The sequence below is a fragment of the Homo sapiens genome, chromosome 2, assembly GCF_000001405.40.
Source record: "Homo sapiens chromosome 2, GRCh38.p14 Primary Assembly".
Classification (NCBI taxonomy): Eukaryota; Metazoa; Chordata; class Mammalia; order Primates; family Hominidae; genus Homo; species Homo sapiens.
In genome coordinates this window covers 102,359,223-102,375,344 of record NC_000002.12, presented here as the reverse complement: position 1 = coordinate 102,375,344, position 16,122 = coordinate 102,359,223, and the positions used below count along the sequence as shown (strand labels likewise).

General features: G+C 39.7%; 1 protein-coding gene across 16 annotated transcripts in view, besides 1 other annotated feature; it reads right to left on the bottom strand.

Annotated features, from left to right (window-relative positions):
- IL18R1 (interleukin 18 receptor 1) overlaps positions 1 to 16,122 on the bottom strand; it is a 42,981-nt gene that overhangs the window by 23,432 nt on the left and 3,427 nt on the right. For 9 of the 16 annotated variants that reach the window (XR_923054.4, NM_003855.5, XM_024453204.2 and 6 more), the window contains 3 exons: positions 12,627 to 12,712; positions 7,277 to 7,520; positions 3,227 to 3,392 (listed from right to left, as the gene is read on the bottom strand). Coding sequence is in view for 11 of the 16 variants with exons in the window: in NM_003855.5 (NP_003846.1) it covers positions 3,227 to 3,392; positions 7,277 to 7,520; positions 12,627 to 12,684 (468 nt within the window). In the remaining 5 variants the exon portion in view is untranslated. Of the gene's footprint in view, positions 1 to 1,351; positions 1,409 to 3,226; positions 3,393 to 7,276; positions 7,693 to 12,626; positions 12,715 to 16,122 lie in introns of those variants that run through there. The other 7 variants (NM_001371422.1, NM_001371423.1, NM_001371421.1 and 4 more) reach the window with 6 other exon arrangements.
- Positions 7,551 to 7,600: an enhancer, noted in NCBI's record as "active region_16306". NCBI's record gives its function as "activates an Ori minimal core promoter by ATAC-STARR-seq in GM12878 lymphoblastoid cells {active_cell/tissue: GM12878}" and the evidence as "EXISTENCE:reporter gene assay evidence [ECO:0000049][PMID:35858748]".

Sequence of the window (16,122 nt, the reverse complement as noted above, 5' to 3'; positions counted from 1 at the left end):
CAAACATCTCTCTCTCTCTCACACACATTTCCATACATGTCACAGGAATTAATACTAATTGTAATAAAGCCACTTTCTTCAATCCAGCACATCTGACACCCAGAGGTAGGTCCCAGAGCCATGCAGGGACCACATGGGATGTCTGGGGGCTGAATGGCCATCCTTGACCATTGGACACTGTTTCTGCAAACACCAAGCAAGGAGAACCTACTGCCCACAGACTTCTCCCTCAGAGCTGGCAGCCACTGGGGCTAGACCCATTGTGCATAGAATGTGCCCGTGAAGCACCCACATGTGTACCTCACGTCAGTAAATTATTTATGTATAAGTCAAAATTTTATAAAGCCAAACTAATTTTTTCAAGCTATAGAAAAGATCAGAGACTCTTCATTTTCCTTTCCAATCAATTATCTACTGAATTAGCCTCCTTGCTCTCGGGTGAAGTCATGATCAGTCAACAGGCTTAGAATACTTAGCCCTGTGGTCAATTGTTTAGCTAAATATCCTTGGTGCACCAATGCTCATAATTTAAATAGCTGCACTTTGGAATTTCATTTTTTTTTTTTTGAGACGGAGTATCGCTCTCTCCCCTAGGCTGGAGTGCAGTGGCCCAGTCTCGGCTCGCTGCAACCTCTGCCTCCCGGGTTCAAGTGATTCTCCTTCCTCAGCCTCCCGAGCAGTTGGGACTACAGGCATGTGCCACCACACCCAGCTAATTTTTTGTATTTTTAGTAGAGACGGGGTTTCATCATATTAGCCAGCATGGTCTCGATCACCTGACCTAATAATCCGCCCACCTCAGCCTCACAAAGTGCTGGGATTACAGGTGTGAGCCACTGCACCCGAACGGAATTTCTTAAAACTCAGCACACCAAGCCTCACTAATTTACATATACTGTAACACATTTGTACATTGATGGGAAATAGAATAAAGTCAACTCAGGACTGATTCGAGTGTTTAGAAAACATTTCAGATAAGAGCTGTCTTTGGAAATCACAAGTAAACAGTGTTCAAGCATAAGGCACAAACAAAAATTTCAAGGATATTATCATCACTCGCTTCAGATTTCCCAAGTTCTGTTCAGACCACTCTCTTATAGGTCTTTAAAGTTTCCACGACAGAGTCATATTATTCAGATTTGTTATTCCATATAAACTACATCAGCTGTCCCCAACCGTTTTGACACAGAGACTGATTTCATGAATGACAACTTTTCCATGGACCAGGGTGGGCAGGGGTTGAGCGGGGAATGGTTGGTTTGGGGATGATTCAGGCGCATTACATTTATTGTGCACTTTATTTCTATTGTTATTACACTGTAATATATAATGAGATAATTATACAACTCACCATAATGTAGAATCAGTGGAGCCCTGAGCTTGTTTTCCTGCAAATAGGTGGTCCTATCTGGGGGTGATGGGAGACAGTGACAGATCATCAGGCATTAGATTCTCATAAGGAGCATGCAACATAGATTCCTCGCATGCACAGTTCACAATAGGGTTCTTACTCCTGTGAGAGTCTAATGCAGCTGCGGATCTCACAGGAGGTGGTAATGTTAGTGAGGGGGAGTGGCATGGGGATTGGGGACCCCTGAACTACACAATTTGTGTTGCGTATGTGTGTGGATGGGAGTGCGTATGTTTTTTATGCATACACACACTACACTCACACACGCTATGTATGTGTATATATAATTCCTATAGCGTGGTCTAAAAGAGCTTTTTTTTTTATTATACTTTAAGTTCTGGGGTATATGTGGAGAATGTGCAGGTTTGTTACATAGGTATACACGTGCCATGGTGGTTTGCTGAACCCATCAATTTGTCATCTACATTAGGTATTTCTCCTAATGCTATACATCCCCTACCCTCCCACCCCACACAACAGGCCCCGGTGTGTGATGTTCCCCTCCCTGTGTCCATGTGTTCTCATTGTTCACCTCCCACTTATGAGTGAGAACATGCAGTGTTTGGTTTTCTATTCCTGTGTTAGTTTTCTGAGAATGATGGTTTCCAGCTTCATCCATGTCCCTACAAAAGACATGAACTCATGCTTTTTTATGGCTGTATAGTATTCCATGGTGTATAAGAGCTTTTAAAATTCAACAGGTAAAAGGTATACCAACTGAAGAAAACAGAAAAAAATAAACAGGCAACCCACAAAATTGCCTGATTGCAGTAAGATGCAATAAATATATACAAAAGTTTAATTTATTACTAAGAAAAGTGAAAAAACCACTAGGAGTTTTAGAAATTTTTCATATCAAATTTTAAACATTCTGGGACCATTATTTCCCTGTGTTGTGGAGGTGACAAAAAATTGGGATTCTTTTTTCAAGTGTGGGGTAAAATTGGCAGAGCTCCCTGGAGACAAGTTTGATAGTGTGAGGAAAAAGACATAAAAACATGCTCACAGCCTCTGATCCAGTAATTCTACATTTAGGGATTTGGTTGAAGGACAAATCATATAAACACCCAAGGATTTGTGGAAATGGTATTCATTTTAGCCTTTAAATAATAGTGAAAAATAGGCAATTCACAAATGTCCAATAACAATGGGATTAGTTAGACGAAACAAGGGGGTTAGTTAGATGAAACCAGGCACATAAAAACTGAAAGCCCATGTTTAGAAGATCATTTAAAGATGTGAAGGGATAGTCACAACGTAATTCTTAGAGGAAAAAACATAAAAAAATAAAATATACCACTTTTAAAAAGCAGATGCTTCACAGAAAAAAAAAGTCTGTGATGGATTTATGAGTGATTTTTGCTTTCTTCATTTTTCAGTTTTAAAGTTAAAATATTATAAAAGCATTACCATTTCCAATTTTATAAAATGAACTAATATATTCAGAAAAACATATACAATTGAGTTTTACATGTTAAGTACATGTGACAGGAGAAAATGGAAATCCTTAAACTAGCATTCCTAAAAACTAACTTATCGAAAGAGAAGGAAAATGAAGGAAGAGTGTGGGAGAAGAAACTGTGATCATTTATTGAACACCAAATCCAGGGAAACTACTGTGGAACATATTTTAATACTATGTATCAGCTCTTGACAACAAGCCAGTGAGGATACTTGGCTCAAACAGGGCAAGTGAGCCATGTGGGATCAGGCAGCTTATTTGTTATGAGACCAGAATGGTAGCTCTCAGCCCCTCATTTGGGAATTTTATCTTTTCCATCAAGTCTTAAAGTTAAAATATTATAAAAGCATTACCTTATACAATGATGTGCTGTTGACCAGTGTTTGATAGTAACTGTTTTCACAGGTTATCTGAAAAAATTTTTTAACTTCCACAATTTTACTAGTTACTTGTCTTTCAGTGAAACAGCTGTGTTTATTTCTTCTGATGACATTTAATTTCCATTTCTGAGTATAATTTCTATGGAATAAAAGTGTAAAGGTATTTTATAATGCTACAGAAACTTTGCAAATATCACCCATCTTCCCTTTAGTAACCAGTTACAATATTTTTCCTTTATTTTTATTAAAGAGATTGATTCATTGATGTGCAAACCCTGCTCTGCCTCCGCTTGATTCAGAAGAGCAAGAACTTTAAAAACTGTCATGGGAGCAGGGGGTAATAAATGAAAACCTAAGCAGTCTACACACAGAGACACACACATGCACACGCACACACGCACATATCCTACTGCAGACAATATATTATGGATGTCAGAAAAGCAAATCTTTACAATGTCAGTGATCTTCACTGATGGATAAGTTCAGAGAGTCTTGGCCCAGGATGGGAGGGTGGCTTTGGTTTCAAAAGGTCTATAAACTCCTGATGTTGTTTTCTAAATGTGTGTATATATATATTAGGTTTTGTTTCTCAAGGCAACTTCTTCCAATCCCCTTCTTTTACTGTTGAATAAACCAAAGTCTGGAGTTGCTGCCCTCAGTGTAATTGAATTAGCTCTTTAAATGCCTTACTGACCAAAAGTGAGTGTGAATAGATTTTATAGTTGTTGTTACTCCTGATCAGAAATTAGTGATCAGGACTATCACTAGGCCAGGTGCAGTGGCTCACACCTGTAATCCCAGCACTTTGGGAGGCCAAGGCAGGTGGATCACCTGAGGTCAGGAGTTTGAGACCAGCCTGGCCAATGTGGTGAAACTCCGTCTCTACTAAAACTACAAAAATTAGCTGGGTACGGTAATCCCAGCTACTCGGGAAGCTGAGGCAGGAGGCGGAGGTTGCAGTGAGTGGAGATCGCGCCATTGCACTCCAGCCTGGGTAACAAGAGCGAAATTCCATCTCAAAAAAACAACAACAACAACAACAAAAAAAGGTGATCTGGAATTGGAAAACAATACAGTATTTTTTAAATGAAGATTTTAAAGAGAAAATGTTTCAAATTTCATGTTTGCTTCCACTGCACCTGTGATGTATAGATTTATTTGCTAAATACAGCAGATGCGTGTTTTTAAGTTATCCTCTATGCCTGACACATTTGTGCCCACCTTAGGCTCTTCCAGTTCCCCTTTAGGTCTACAATAGGATAGAAGGAAGAAAAGACTAACACTTACTGAGTTCCAGGTATTAGACTATGTACATGCAAGGGAGATGACTATTTTCCTTAGGCTCAGATGAGAATGCTAAATCTCAGACAGGTTAAACAACTCACTCAGGCCACACACTTGCTACAAGATGGGGCCAGGATACAAATGCACATCTATTTGGCCCCAGAGGCCAGAAGTGCTCTGCACAATTCTACACTTTCACAATCCAATGAATCTGGCCCCTTCACCTTGGGCATGAATTTATAAAAGATTGGCCGTGACTGGAGAATGTGGCAGGCTGTTGTCACAGTTATAGGCAGTGGGTCCATGGCCATGGGACATGATAGAGCTACCTGGCTCTTGAAATGGATTCAGGATCCCATTGGCAGCACCTTCTTCTCAAGTGTGTTTTCGTAATGTCTCCCCAACTTTGACCTCAATGAATTGGAGAGATAGAGATTTCTGGATCTCTATGACTTGTTGCTTAAAAGGAATAGGGTACATGAATATCCCCATTTTTTCAGACTACATTGTTCTCTACCTCTGTAATCCTCAATTCCTAACACTCAACAAATGCTAGAGGACTGATGACACTCCATGTGCAGGACACTGCTCTGGGAACACTGAAACAATCAACAACACACTGCACCTGCCATCCAGGAGCTCCAAGGCTAGGGTTAACACTGAGGCCAACTGACCCAAAGCTGTGACCACACTTTCCTGCTGCAGGCCCAGCCCATCCTGGTTATGAAAACCACTCATTTTTGTCCACAGACACCAGGGGATAAACACCAGCCCCCACTTCTGAGGCTGCTCACCAAGCTGAACTTGCTGCCTGTCAGCCTAGGATTGGTTTATTAGATTTCTGTGTGTACATTTCCCTCTACCTTCATTTCTTCATCTCTATCATTGAAAACTATCCCTTTTGTATCCCCTTCCTTCTTAGTTGATTTCGTTCTTAAAATTTGGTGGGATAAAGTGATTTTCACTGCAGGATTAAATTATCAGTCCTCAGTGGCATTTGATTATTAGCAATGTACTCCTAAAAATTAAAGAATTACTGTTCTAACGGGAAATTTTCAGGTGTAAAGTCTGTTCACTGATAGATCCCACATCAAACTGCAAAGGGTTACACACCTAAGTTAGAACACATATGTGTATACACACACATCTGCAGTAAATACTGCTTACTAATTATGCTATATTTGAATATGTCTGTATCTTCTATGCTCCTGGGTGTCTAAAACAACCTGCTTCCATGTAGAATCCCATTTATTTTCAAGGCCATTGTCAAAGCTGCTTCTCTCCTCAACACTTTACTCTCATAGTGATCAGTCTCCAATATCCACTCTGGGACACCTCATTTTTCTTAGCATCTCCTATCTGCTACCCTGTCTCTCCACACCTCTCTCTGACATCCTGCCTCAATCTCTTGCTTCCATTGTTGCTTCCTAAGCCAGGCTGTATTCTCTACTACCCGTATCAGAAAGATGGCCAATGCCATTTGCTTCTGTTATCTCCAAGTGATGATCATAGATGCCTGGCTGTTCCTCTCAACGTGCTCTCTCAGGCCTGTCCAGAATACTTTATTCCTTTAAATTGTGCCTTCATTCAATCAGGAGTTGGAAGTTTGTGGTGGGGGGGGCGGTGTTTGTTGTTCTTTTTCCTTTACCCCATTTGTGAGTATTCATTCTTCCTTAGCTTGTTATGAAAAATCCCAGTTGTGACCCATTTCTGTAATTATCACTCTTAAAAGGTCATCTAAAGATGTACTGATTTTTATCAAAAGAGTTATTTAATTTTTTTCTGATGCCTGGGAGTTCCTATGTATAAAAACAAACAAAAATGACCTGATTTGGTGCAAAACTACAGAAGTGCTACCAAGGTTTCACAGTGGTAGCTCACTCTGCTCTCAACAGCATGGTTGATAATGATCAGGACTCACTCTAGAAGTGCTTCTAAAAGAAATCTGCTACATATGAAATCTACACACCATCACCTTCAGCTGGCCCTGAGCTATTTCTTACAGGTCAGTCTCAAGTCTCTATAAAACTACCTACATATGTAGGTAGGTACATCTAAAAAGAAACATGTTCGGTAAGTGTGGGTGATGCTTTCAGTTGGCTGTGCTCATTTCATGGAAGTTATGCAACCCAATTTCGAGTATTCTGGCACAATCTAGGGCCACCTCATGAGTAAAATGCAAAGCCCTTCCGTGTTGCCCTCTCTCACTGCCGCCAGCTGTGGGTTGCGATTGGCTGCCAGACACACACTTCCTCCACTAGCACTGCCACCTGGCTCCCAGTGAGCCCCTGCAGACTGGACTAGGGTGTTTCTGCATCAACCCCATCCCTGCTCCCCACCAGGGATGCCACCCAGGAAGCTGACACTGCCCCATTCGCAACACATTAATATTATCGTGAAGTCCGAGCTGCTGATTTCATTTGACTGGGGGCATGTAGACAACAGGAGCAGCTGAATTTTAAAACTGACTTTCATGCAATCGTCACTTGTCATTGGTAAGGATCCCCTAAAAGGAAATCCTATCAAAGTAATCTCCTTTCATTAAGGTCACTAAGAAAATAAGCAGAGAGAGATAAACTTATTCTGTTCCATAACAAAGAATGTATTTCATGTCATAGGAAGAGTAGGAAAGAAAAGGATGTGGTGATTATCTGACCTTTCAGATTACTGCATATTTGAGTTGCTGAACAAAGGACAAGAGGGCTGTGAAATACATTTTGAAAAGAAAGGGTTACTCACTTCATTTGGAAAAAGTAAGATCCTGTGTCATTCAACTCAACTGGCCAAAACTCCAAAACACAATCATGCAAAGCAATTCTCGAGGAACTCCTTGGGTTCAGCTCCACATGTTCCTGTGATCCACTGCTTTTGTACCAGCTTTTGGTGGTTGTTTCAATCTCATGTGCAAGTGAACACGAGCAATGTTTCAGATAGAAAGGTTCCCCTTCAACCACAGTAATGTGGGGACGTGAAGTACAAGATTCTTCAAAAGATTAGTAAAGTAAAATAAATAAAAACAAAAACCAAAATGACAAGGTAACTTTTTTTGGTCTCCTAATGCATTAGGTGAAGAAGCAAGGTTAGCAAGAAAGTCCTGAGAAATCTCGGTGTCAATTTCCTGTGGGTTCTTTATTTTTGCGTCAATCTTTCCAACACTAGAAAGGATAAGGCACTTTCAGAACATAGATGAAAACACAACTTCTGACAGTTTCTCCCCAACAGGAAGGTATCAGAACTTAACCAACCATAGCTAGAAGACTGATAATTGTGTCACCTCTTAGAAGAAAATATTACACATTACAACTTCTTCATAGGGAAAGCCACAGAAGTCACGGTGCTGCCATACCTACCTCAAAATATACCCTGCTGAGGAGTCTCAGTAGAAAAGAAAACAAGAAATCTAGCAACCTTGGCGTTCTTCCTCTGCACCATCAGAAATCTCACTCACCTTGCATTCACCCTGCCTATCTAACATTCCCTGGTAAGTGTGGGGATGGTTAAAAGTGTGCCTATGTAACTTACAGTGTGTGTACATTTATTATTACTGTAGGTCACCATGTGGATAATCAAGAATTCATTAATATAATATCAATCCAAATTTGCATATCTGTCACTTTCCCTCTTTCTCAATTGACCCAGATTCTCTGGCTTTGGAAATATATCTGACCATCATCTACCCAGGATAGGTGCTCGTTCCCCTCTTTCGGCACTTGTGGTACTTCAAGTTCAGCATTAATGGGTCTTTCTCATAATCTACCCTCCAGTGACTCTCGGGTGCACTTTTACCACATTTTGAGAATGAGAGTATTTAAACTGAACGAAACATTTCCCTTAGGACATGGACAGAATGCCTTCTCTATAGTCAGGGTTTGTTTCTCAAAGCAGCAGTCTGGTTTTAACTCAAAATTGTTAACCACAACATAAAGAGGAAGTGATGTGATAGAAGTATTCTGATATGGTTTGGCTGTGTCCCCATCCAAACCTCATCTTGAATTTAATCATGGGGGCAGTCACCCTCATGCTGTTCTCATGATAGTGAGTGAGTTCTCATGAGATCTGATGGTTTTGTAAGGGGCTTTTCCCCCTTTTGTAAGTTTCCTGAGGCCTCCCCAGCCCTGCAGAACTGAGTCCATTAAATCTTTCTCCTTTATATATTACCTGGTCTCAGGTATGCCTTTATTAGCAGTGTGAGAATGGACTAATAAAGTAAATTGGTACCAGAAGTGGGGTGCTACTGTAAAGATACACAAAATGTGGAAGTGACTTTGGAACTGCATACAGGCAGAGGTTGGAACAGTTTGGAGGGCAGTTTGGAACAGTTGGAACAGTTTGAAGAAGATAAGAAAATATGGAAAAGTTTGGAACTTCCTAAAGACTTGTTAAATGGCTTTAACCAAAATGCTGATAATGTTATGGACAATAAAGTCCAGGCTGAGGTGGTCTCAGATGGAGATGAGGAACTTTTGGGGAGCTGGAGCAAAAGTGAATCTTGTTATGTTTAGCAAAGAGATTAGTTGCATTTTGCCCTTGTCCTAGAGATCTATGGAACTTTGAACTTGAGAGACGATTATCTGGAAGAAGAAATTTCTAAAGAGCAAATCATTCAAGAGGTGACAGAGCATAAGAGTTTGGAAAATTCACAGCTTGAGAATGTGGTAGGAGAGAAAAATCCATGTTCGTGGGAATGGGGGGCATGGAATTAAAGCTGGTTGCAGAAATTTGCATAAGAAATGAGGACTCAAATGTTAATTGCCAAGACAAGGGGAAAAATGCCTCTAGGGTATGTCAGAGATCTTCATGAGAGACCCTCCCATCACAGGCCCAGAGGCCTAAGAGGAAAAAATGATTTCCTGGGATGGGCCCAGGGTCCCTTTCTGTGTGCAGCCTAGGGATTTGGTGCCCTGCATCCTACCCCTCCAGCCATTGCTAAAACAGGCCAAGATACCAGGTCAGGCTGTGGCTTCAGAGGGTGCAAGCCCCAAACCTTGGCAGCTTCCACATGGTGTTGAGGCTGCAGGTGCACAAAAGTCAAGAATTGAGGTTTGGGAACCTACGCCTAGGTTTCAGAGGATGTATGGAAATGCTGGATGTCCAGGCAAAAGTTTGCTGCAGGGGTGGAACCCTCATGTAGAATCTTTGCTAGGGTAGTGTGGAAGGGAAATGTGGTGTTGGGGCTCCCATACAGAGTCCCCACTGGAGTACAGCTAGTGGAGTTAAGAGAAGAAAGCCACCATCCTCCAGGCCCCAGGATGATAGATTCACTGACAGCTTGCACCATGCACTTGAAAAAGCCCAGAAACTCAACACCAGCCCATGAAAGAAACCAGGAAGAAAGATGTACCCTGCAAAGCCACAGGAGCATAGCTGCCCAAGGCCATGGGATCCTACCTCTTGCAGCAGCGTGACCTGGATATGAGACATGGAGTTGAAGGAGACTATTTTGGAACTTTAAGGTTTAATGACTGCCCTATTAAATTTAGAACTTGCATGGGGCCAGTAGCCCCTTTGTTTTAGTCAATTTCTCCCATTTGGAAGGGGTGTATTTACTCAATGCCTGTACTCCCATTGTATCTAGGAAGTAACTAAATTGCTCTTGAATTTACTGACTCATAGGAAGGGACCTTCCTTGTCTCAGATGAGACTTTGGACTTGGATTTTAGAGTTAATGCTGGAATGAGTGAAGACTTTGGGGGACTGTTAGAAGGGCATGATTGTGTTTTGAAATGTGAGAGCATGAGATTTGGGAGAGGCCAGGGGTGGAATGATATGATTTGGCTATACCCCAACCCAAATCATCTTGAATTGTAGTTCCCATAAGCCCCATGTGTCATAGGAGGGACCTGGTGGAAGGTAATTTAATCATGGGGGTGATTACCCTCATGCTGTGCTCCTGATAGTGAGTGAGTTCTCATAAGATCTGATGTTTTTATAAGGGGCTTTTCCCCTTTTTGCTCAGCCTTCTCCTTGATGCCACCATGTGAAGAAGGATATGTTTTCTTCCCCTTCCACTATGATTGTAAGCTTCCTGAGGCCTCCCCAGCCATACAGAACTGTGAATCAATAAAGTCTCTTTCCTTTATAAATTACCCAGTCTCAAGTATGCCTTTATTAGCAGCATGAGAATGGACTAATACACATTCTTTGAAAACATGGATGTCGAATCTACCACAAAACACAAGAGTTAAGGAGCACCAACTTCATGTTTTCTGGTTGCAATACAATCTCTATTTTATACTAATACTTCAACATAGAAGGTGTGATACATGTGTATATGTGGGTGTCAGCTTCAATTGACATGCAAAACCCTGGTGAGTCATTAACAGTTCATTTATTTTCCTGTTTTAGAGTTAATATAATAAAATGCATAGGCTATACAATATGTGCTCCTTTATGTCTGGGTTATTTTGACATGATTGTTATAAATGCATTCATGCTGTAGCAGTGATGTGTTCTTTTCTCATTGTAATGTAGTATCTAATCGTGTTACCATTTCGCAATTTATCCATTTTATAAAAGGATGCATGTTGGGGATTTGGTTTATTAAACAAATGTCTGTTGGATATTGGCTTATTTCTAGGTTTTCAGGTTTTCGCTTGTCTTAAAAAGCTTCTATAAACACATATGACTGTGTTTGGATGGACATGTGCTCTCTGGAAGTATTACCATTTGAAGAAACTTAATGTGAATTACACACTCTCCAGAGGTGGGAGGTTGATAATTGAAAGTCCACACCACCCCCCTCCTCAGGCAGCTAGAAGCTTTGGATATCTAATCATGGTTTACCATTAGAGGCTTTGTTGATTACCATAATGCTTGTTGGAAATGGTCCTTGATGGGATAAATAAGTGGAATTCAAGGTTTGTGGAGTTCCAAGTGCCAAAATAGGCACTCCTATTGTTCCATAAACACAGTATAAGAACCCAGCAGTGCCAACAACCAATGCCCTTTGGAATAAAGTCTGTGTTTGAAACTGTCTTGAGTTTGGACAATCATAGCATTTTGTCATTTAAACTCAACTAGGTTCAGTGAATCCTACATGTAGAACATTGTCATGTCTCCCTAGAGTGAAACATTCATGAAAAGTGCTCTTCAGGGCAGGCAGCTGGGAGCTTGGCAACTTTGCACAACTGGCTGCATGGCTGTTTCTGTGCCTGAAACATGCTCTCATTATAATGAGGAGTAAGGCTATTAGTGTATGTCCACAGGACATGGAACTCATGACACATTTTCCTGTACCTTGCTTTTCCACTCACTTGTTTGACAGATCATTACATATAAAAAAATGAAGATCTACCTCATTCTTTTATCATCTGGGTAGGGTTCCATTGCAGGGATCTCAATAATAAATGGATTCACGTAAGTAAATATACCCTGAGATTGGACCTGTGTTATTTGAAAGTACCAAAAGCTTAATTCAGCTATCTCTTCAGCAGTAATTATCAAAGTAGGGAAATGAGCCCATGTGTTTCCCTCTCCTAGATAATAGATCAAGGCAAATTAATATTTGTGCTCCCACTTTCTCCCCCAAAGCCTAAGGAATGCCTTGCTATTCAATCATGGAACGCTAAAGAATGAAGTCTCAGAATCCTTCTCAAATAAAAAAAAAAAACTCTAGGCAATCACTGCTAATAAATTAAAATTGGCATTTGACATCTACTATGAAGCCTACTTGAGCTCCTTGGTCTAGCCAGTCTCTTTTTTGTATATTCTGTCTCACTCTAATTTTTTTAAGCTGTCTAATATATTTGTCGTTTACTTTTCTCATTATTACCTAAATAATGAGATGAATCTTTGCCTCCCTCTCAGGAAGGAGAAAGTGTGTTTCAAACTTCCTAAAACCCAATAATAAAGATGGCTGCCACCTCCTCAGTTTCAAATAACATGAAATAAATTTTCACCTCAGACAAATGTAATTTATTTCAAGATGCAAGTTTTTCACTCTGCTCTCACTACATGAACTCAGACTGCAGAATCTTTTCTTTTCTGAATAAATTCAGCATCTTCAGTAGCCACCACATAAAAAAAAAAACTTTGACATTCTTCCTCAATTACTCATGAAATATGTTTGAGAGTATGTATAATCACTTACCTGCAGTGCTTACAGATATAAGCACCCAAAGGGTCAAGGGTAATTCTCTACAATTCATGGTTTGGATTCTGCTTCAAATGGCTTCTCTGGAAAACAGAATAAAACAGATTCAGCCAAAGCTTTCAAACAAAAGTGTGCCTATCTTATGAAGGTTTAAAAATCTTCTGGCACACAGATTTTTAAAAAAACAACCTAGAAGATTTTTATAATCCTTAATATAGTAACCAATTCTCAGAACTTTCAGCCATATAAAATTAATAAAATTTCAAGGCAATGAAGTTTTTCTTCTGGAAGAAATCCCTAATAATTTATTTCTCTGATACAACAGAGTCTGAAGAATTTCAGGCCTGGTCTACTAAATCCTGCTTCCAAGGCCAAAGTTCAGAACAATAGTACTGCTACAAATATTACCATTCTATGAATAAACAATCTGTGACATGCTGAGCTATGTATGGCAGTTCTGCCCATGTAACAGAGTGTGTGTGTGTGTTTTCACATCAAAACATTCCTGAATTGTAATGAGATCTTCATTTAGGGTTGAATTTTTAAAACTCCATCTTCCTCCTTCAGAACGTAGGTTTCATAATTCTTTCATAATTCTAGGCACTAAGTCTATTTTGCTCTTCACTGTATCACTAAAATCCAGCACGATGCCTAGCACATGGCCAGCACTCACTAACATGTGTCACTGAGGCATAGGTGTGTATGCATGTGTTCGCGTGTGTCTGTGGCTGCCCATATGAGTTTACTTTAGGGAAATGGAGAGATGAAGTGACAGTCTCCTACACTCCAGACCCCTCCTTTACATTGACTGTGTCCCAGTGGAACTAAGATCTGCATTGAACTTTGATCCTACTGCAACCTAGCATTCGGAGTTCTGATTACAACTTTGAGCCCAGTGGAGGAAGGATCCCCCACAGTGGAGACCATTCAGAGTCTAAATACTGCATAAACAACACCATATCCCTTGTTTACCATCCTGAGTGCAGGGAGCACAGCCTGATGGCAGAGTCTGGTTTCAGAAACACACAAACCTGGGCTGCCACTCCAGTTTGAGTCCTGACAAGCTGTGCAAAACTTGAGCAAGTCTTAGAGCCTATTTGGTCATTACCAAAATGGAGATGATAAGAAGGCCTGTTTCTGGAATTATTGAGTGATTAAACCATCTAAGGCTTATGGAGACTTCCTGAGTGCATGGCAGCTTCTCAGCTCAGAATAATGCCCCTCTCACCAACAACTACTCATCTTCCATCCTAAAAACAGAGTTGTCAATGCCTGAATCCAGGATAAAGCTTAATGGCTAAGCTGCCAAACCATTCACATACATCCTTATGGAAAAATCACCAAATATTTGGTGGAATTTCCAAGAGATAATAATCAATAATGTAAAGGCCAAAGAAACAAGTATGAATGGAAAGTACCAACTGTGCATAATCAAATTAGACTGGGTCTATGGTTTGAAACCTCCCCCACTACCTCCACACACATTTTATTATTAACTCTGCCTATTCTTTTATCTTGGATAGAATAAAAAATGTTATTTCCTTTATGTCACTCTGATTAAGACTGATGTAACCTTATAAAAAGCACCACTTTAAAAAAAATATTCAATATCTACCAAGAGACAAAGTTATCAGGAGATGGCTCAGCAAACTGACAAGTTAACTCTGAGTTTCAATATGAAACATATTAAGATCTCAGTATACAAAAATTAGCTGGTATTTGCACACCATTCTGCAAATGTGGATGTGTGTATGTAAAATTTTTAATGTACTTAAGTTTTATGTGTGAATTTAACAGATTAAGGTTATATTAAATAATGAATTCATTTCCAGAAAAAGAGATATTCTGATAAATGTAACAGATACTCTAGCAAGTATTAATAAAATAGGCATAGAAGAATATAAATATTAAATGTCTCACATGTAAGAATTTTAAGGGTTTTTAATTGTTATGTTTAACATCAATATTTTTGCTTTTCCGTAACTCTTAAGTTTCTTTCTTTTTAAAGTTTTTCTGATTTCCAAAGCAATTTACACTCAATGTAGGAGATTTACAAAATGAAGACTGAAAGAAGAAAATAATCTCAACATGTATAATATTTTAACATGTTTTCTTGTACTTTTTATAAATGTTGTCACATAATTAAGATGTTTGGCCGGGCACAGTGGCTCATGCCTGTAATCCCAGCACTTTGGGAGGCCGAGATGGGCGGATCATGAGGTCAGGAGACTGAGACCATCCTGACTAACATGGTGAAACCCCGTCTCTACTAAAAATACAAAAAATTAGCCAGGCACGTTGGCAGGCACCTGTAGTCCCAGCTACTAAGGAGGATGAGGCAGGAGAATGGTGTGAATCCGGGAGGCGGAGCTTGCAGTGAGCCGAGATCTCATCACTGCACTCCAGCCTAGGTGACAGAGCAAGACTCCTTCTCAAAAAATAAAAGATGTTTAAAAGATTGCATATCCTGCATTTCCACCTAATATTACATAATGAGCATTTTTCCTGTGTCACAAAACTCTTTGTTAAAACCATTCTAATTGCCACCTAATATTACTTCATGTGGATATATTATCATTTACCAGATGTATTATGAGATAATCACATGACCATCTTCACAGGTAAGCCAGGATGGCTCAGTTTTTTTGCAGGATGGGCTCAGGTGGCAGCCTGGGTGGATTTGAATCTCCATTCTACCTTCAACCAGCTAACCGACTGTGGGCAACTGACTTGCCTGTTCTGTGCCTCAATTTTCTTATCTATAGAAGGGGATAATAATACCATCTCCTGGAACTGATGTGAAAGTTAAATGAGTTACTATTGCAAGTGTCTGGTGAATGGTAATACCGCTTAAATGTTAGCTATTATTATTTGTCTACATTTCTTATTATTTCCTGGATGTTACTCGATGGCAGTACAGTGATTGAGTTGAAGACTACATTGAAACCTGACAGATGCATGCTGACAAACTGCATTCCAGAAGTGTTGCAATATTCATATTCTCTCACTCAATAGCACAAGACAGCATCTATCGACCACACCCAGAAGCACACTGAGCAGCTTTACTTTTAAAATGTAATTAGACAGCCAAAATGGAAAAATGGTATCTCATTGTTTTCTGAATTTGCATTTCTTTGGGTATAAATGAGGCAAATATTAATCACTTATTATCAGCCATTTTATTTTCATGTTTATGAACCATCTCTTTATGTCTTTTGTCCAGTTCTCAGATGTTTGTCTAACTTGTTGTTTACTTTCTCTCTTTTGTTATGCTAATATATGACAAATTTTATATTGATGTAGTCAAACCGATCATTCTTTTGCTTTGAGATGTTTTCATTGCTTTTAAGTGTAGAATATCCTTTCCTGTTGGTGGTCAAATAGATGCTTACATAGTTTCTTCATTTTTATGGCTCAGTATTGTTTTGTTTTGTTTTTATATTTAACTTTTTTCATCCACCAACAATTAATTTTCTTGATTGACATGAAGATA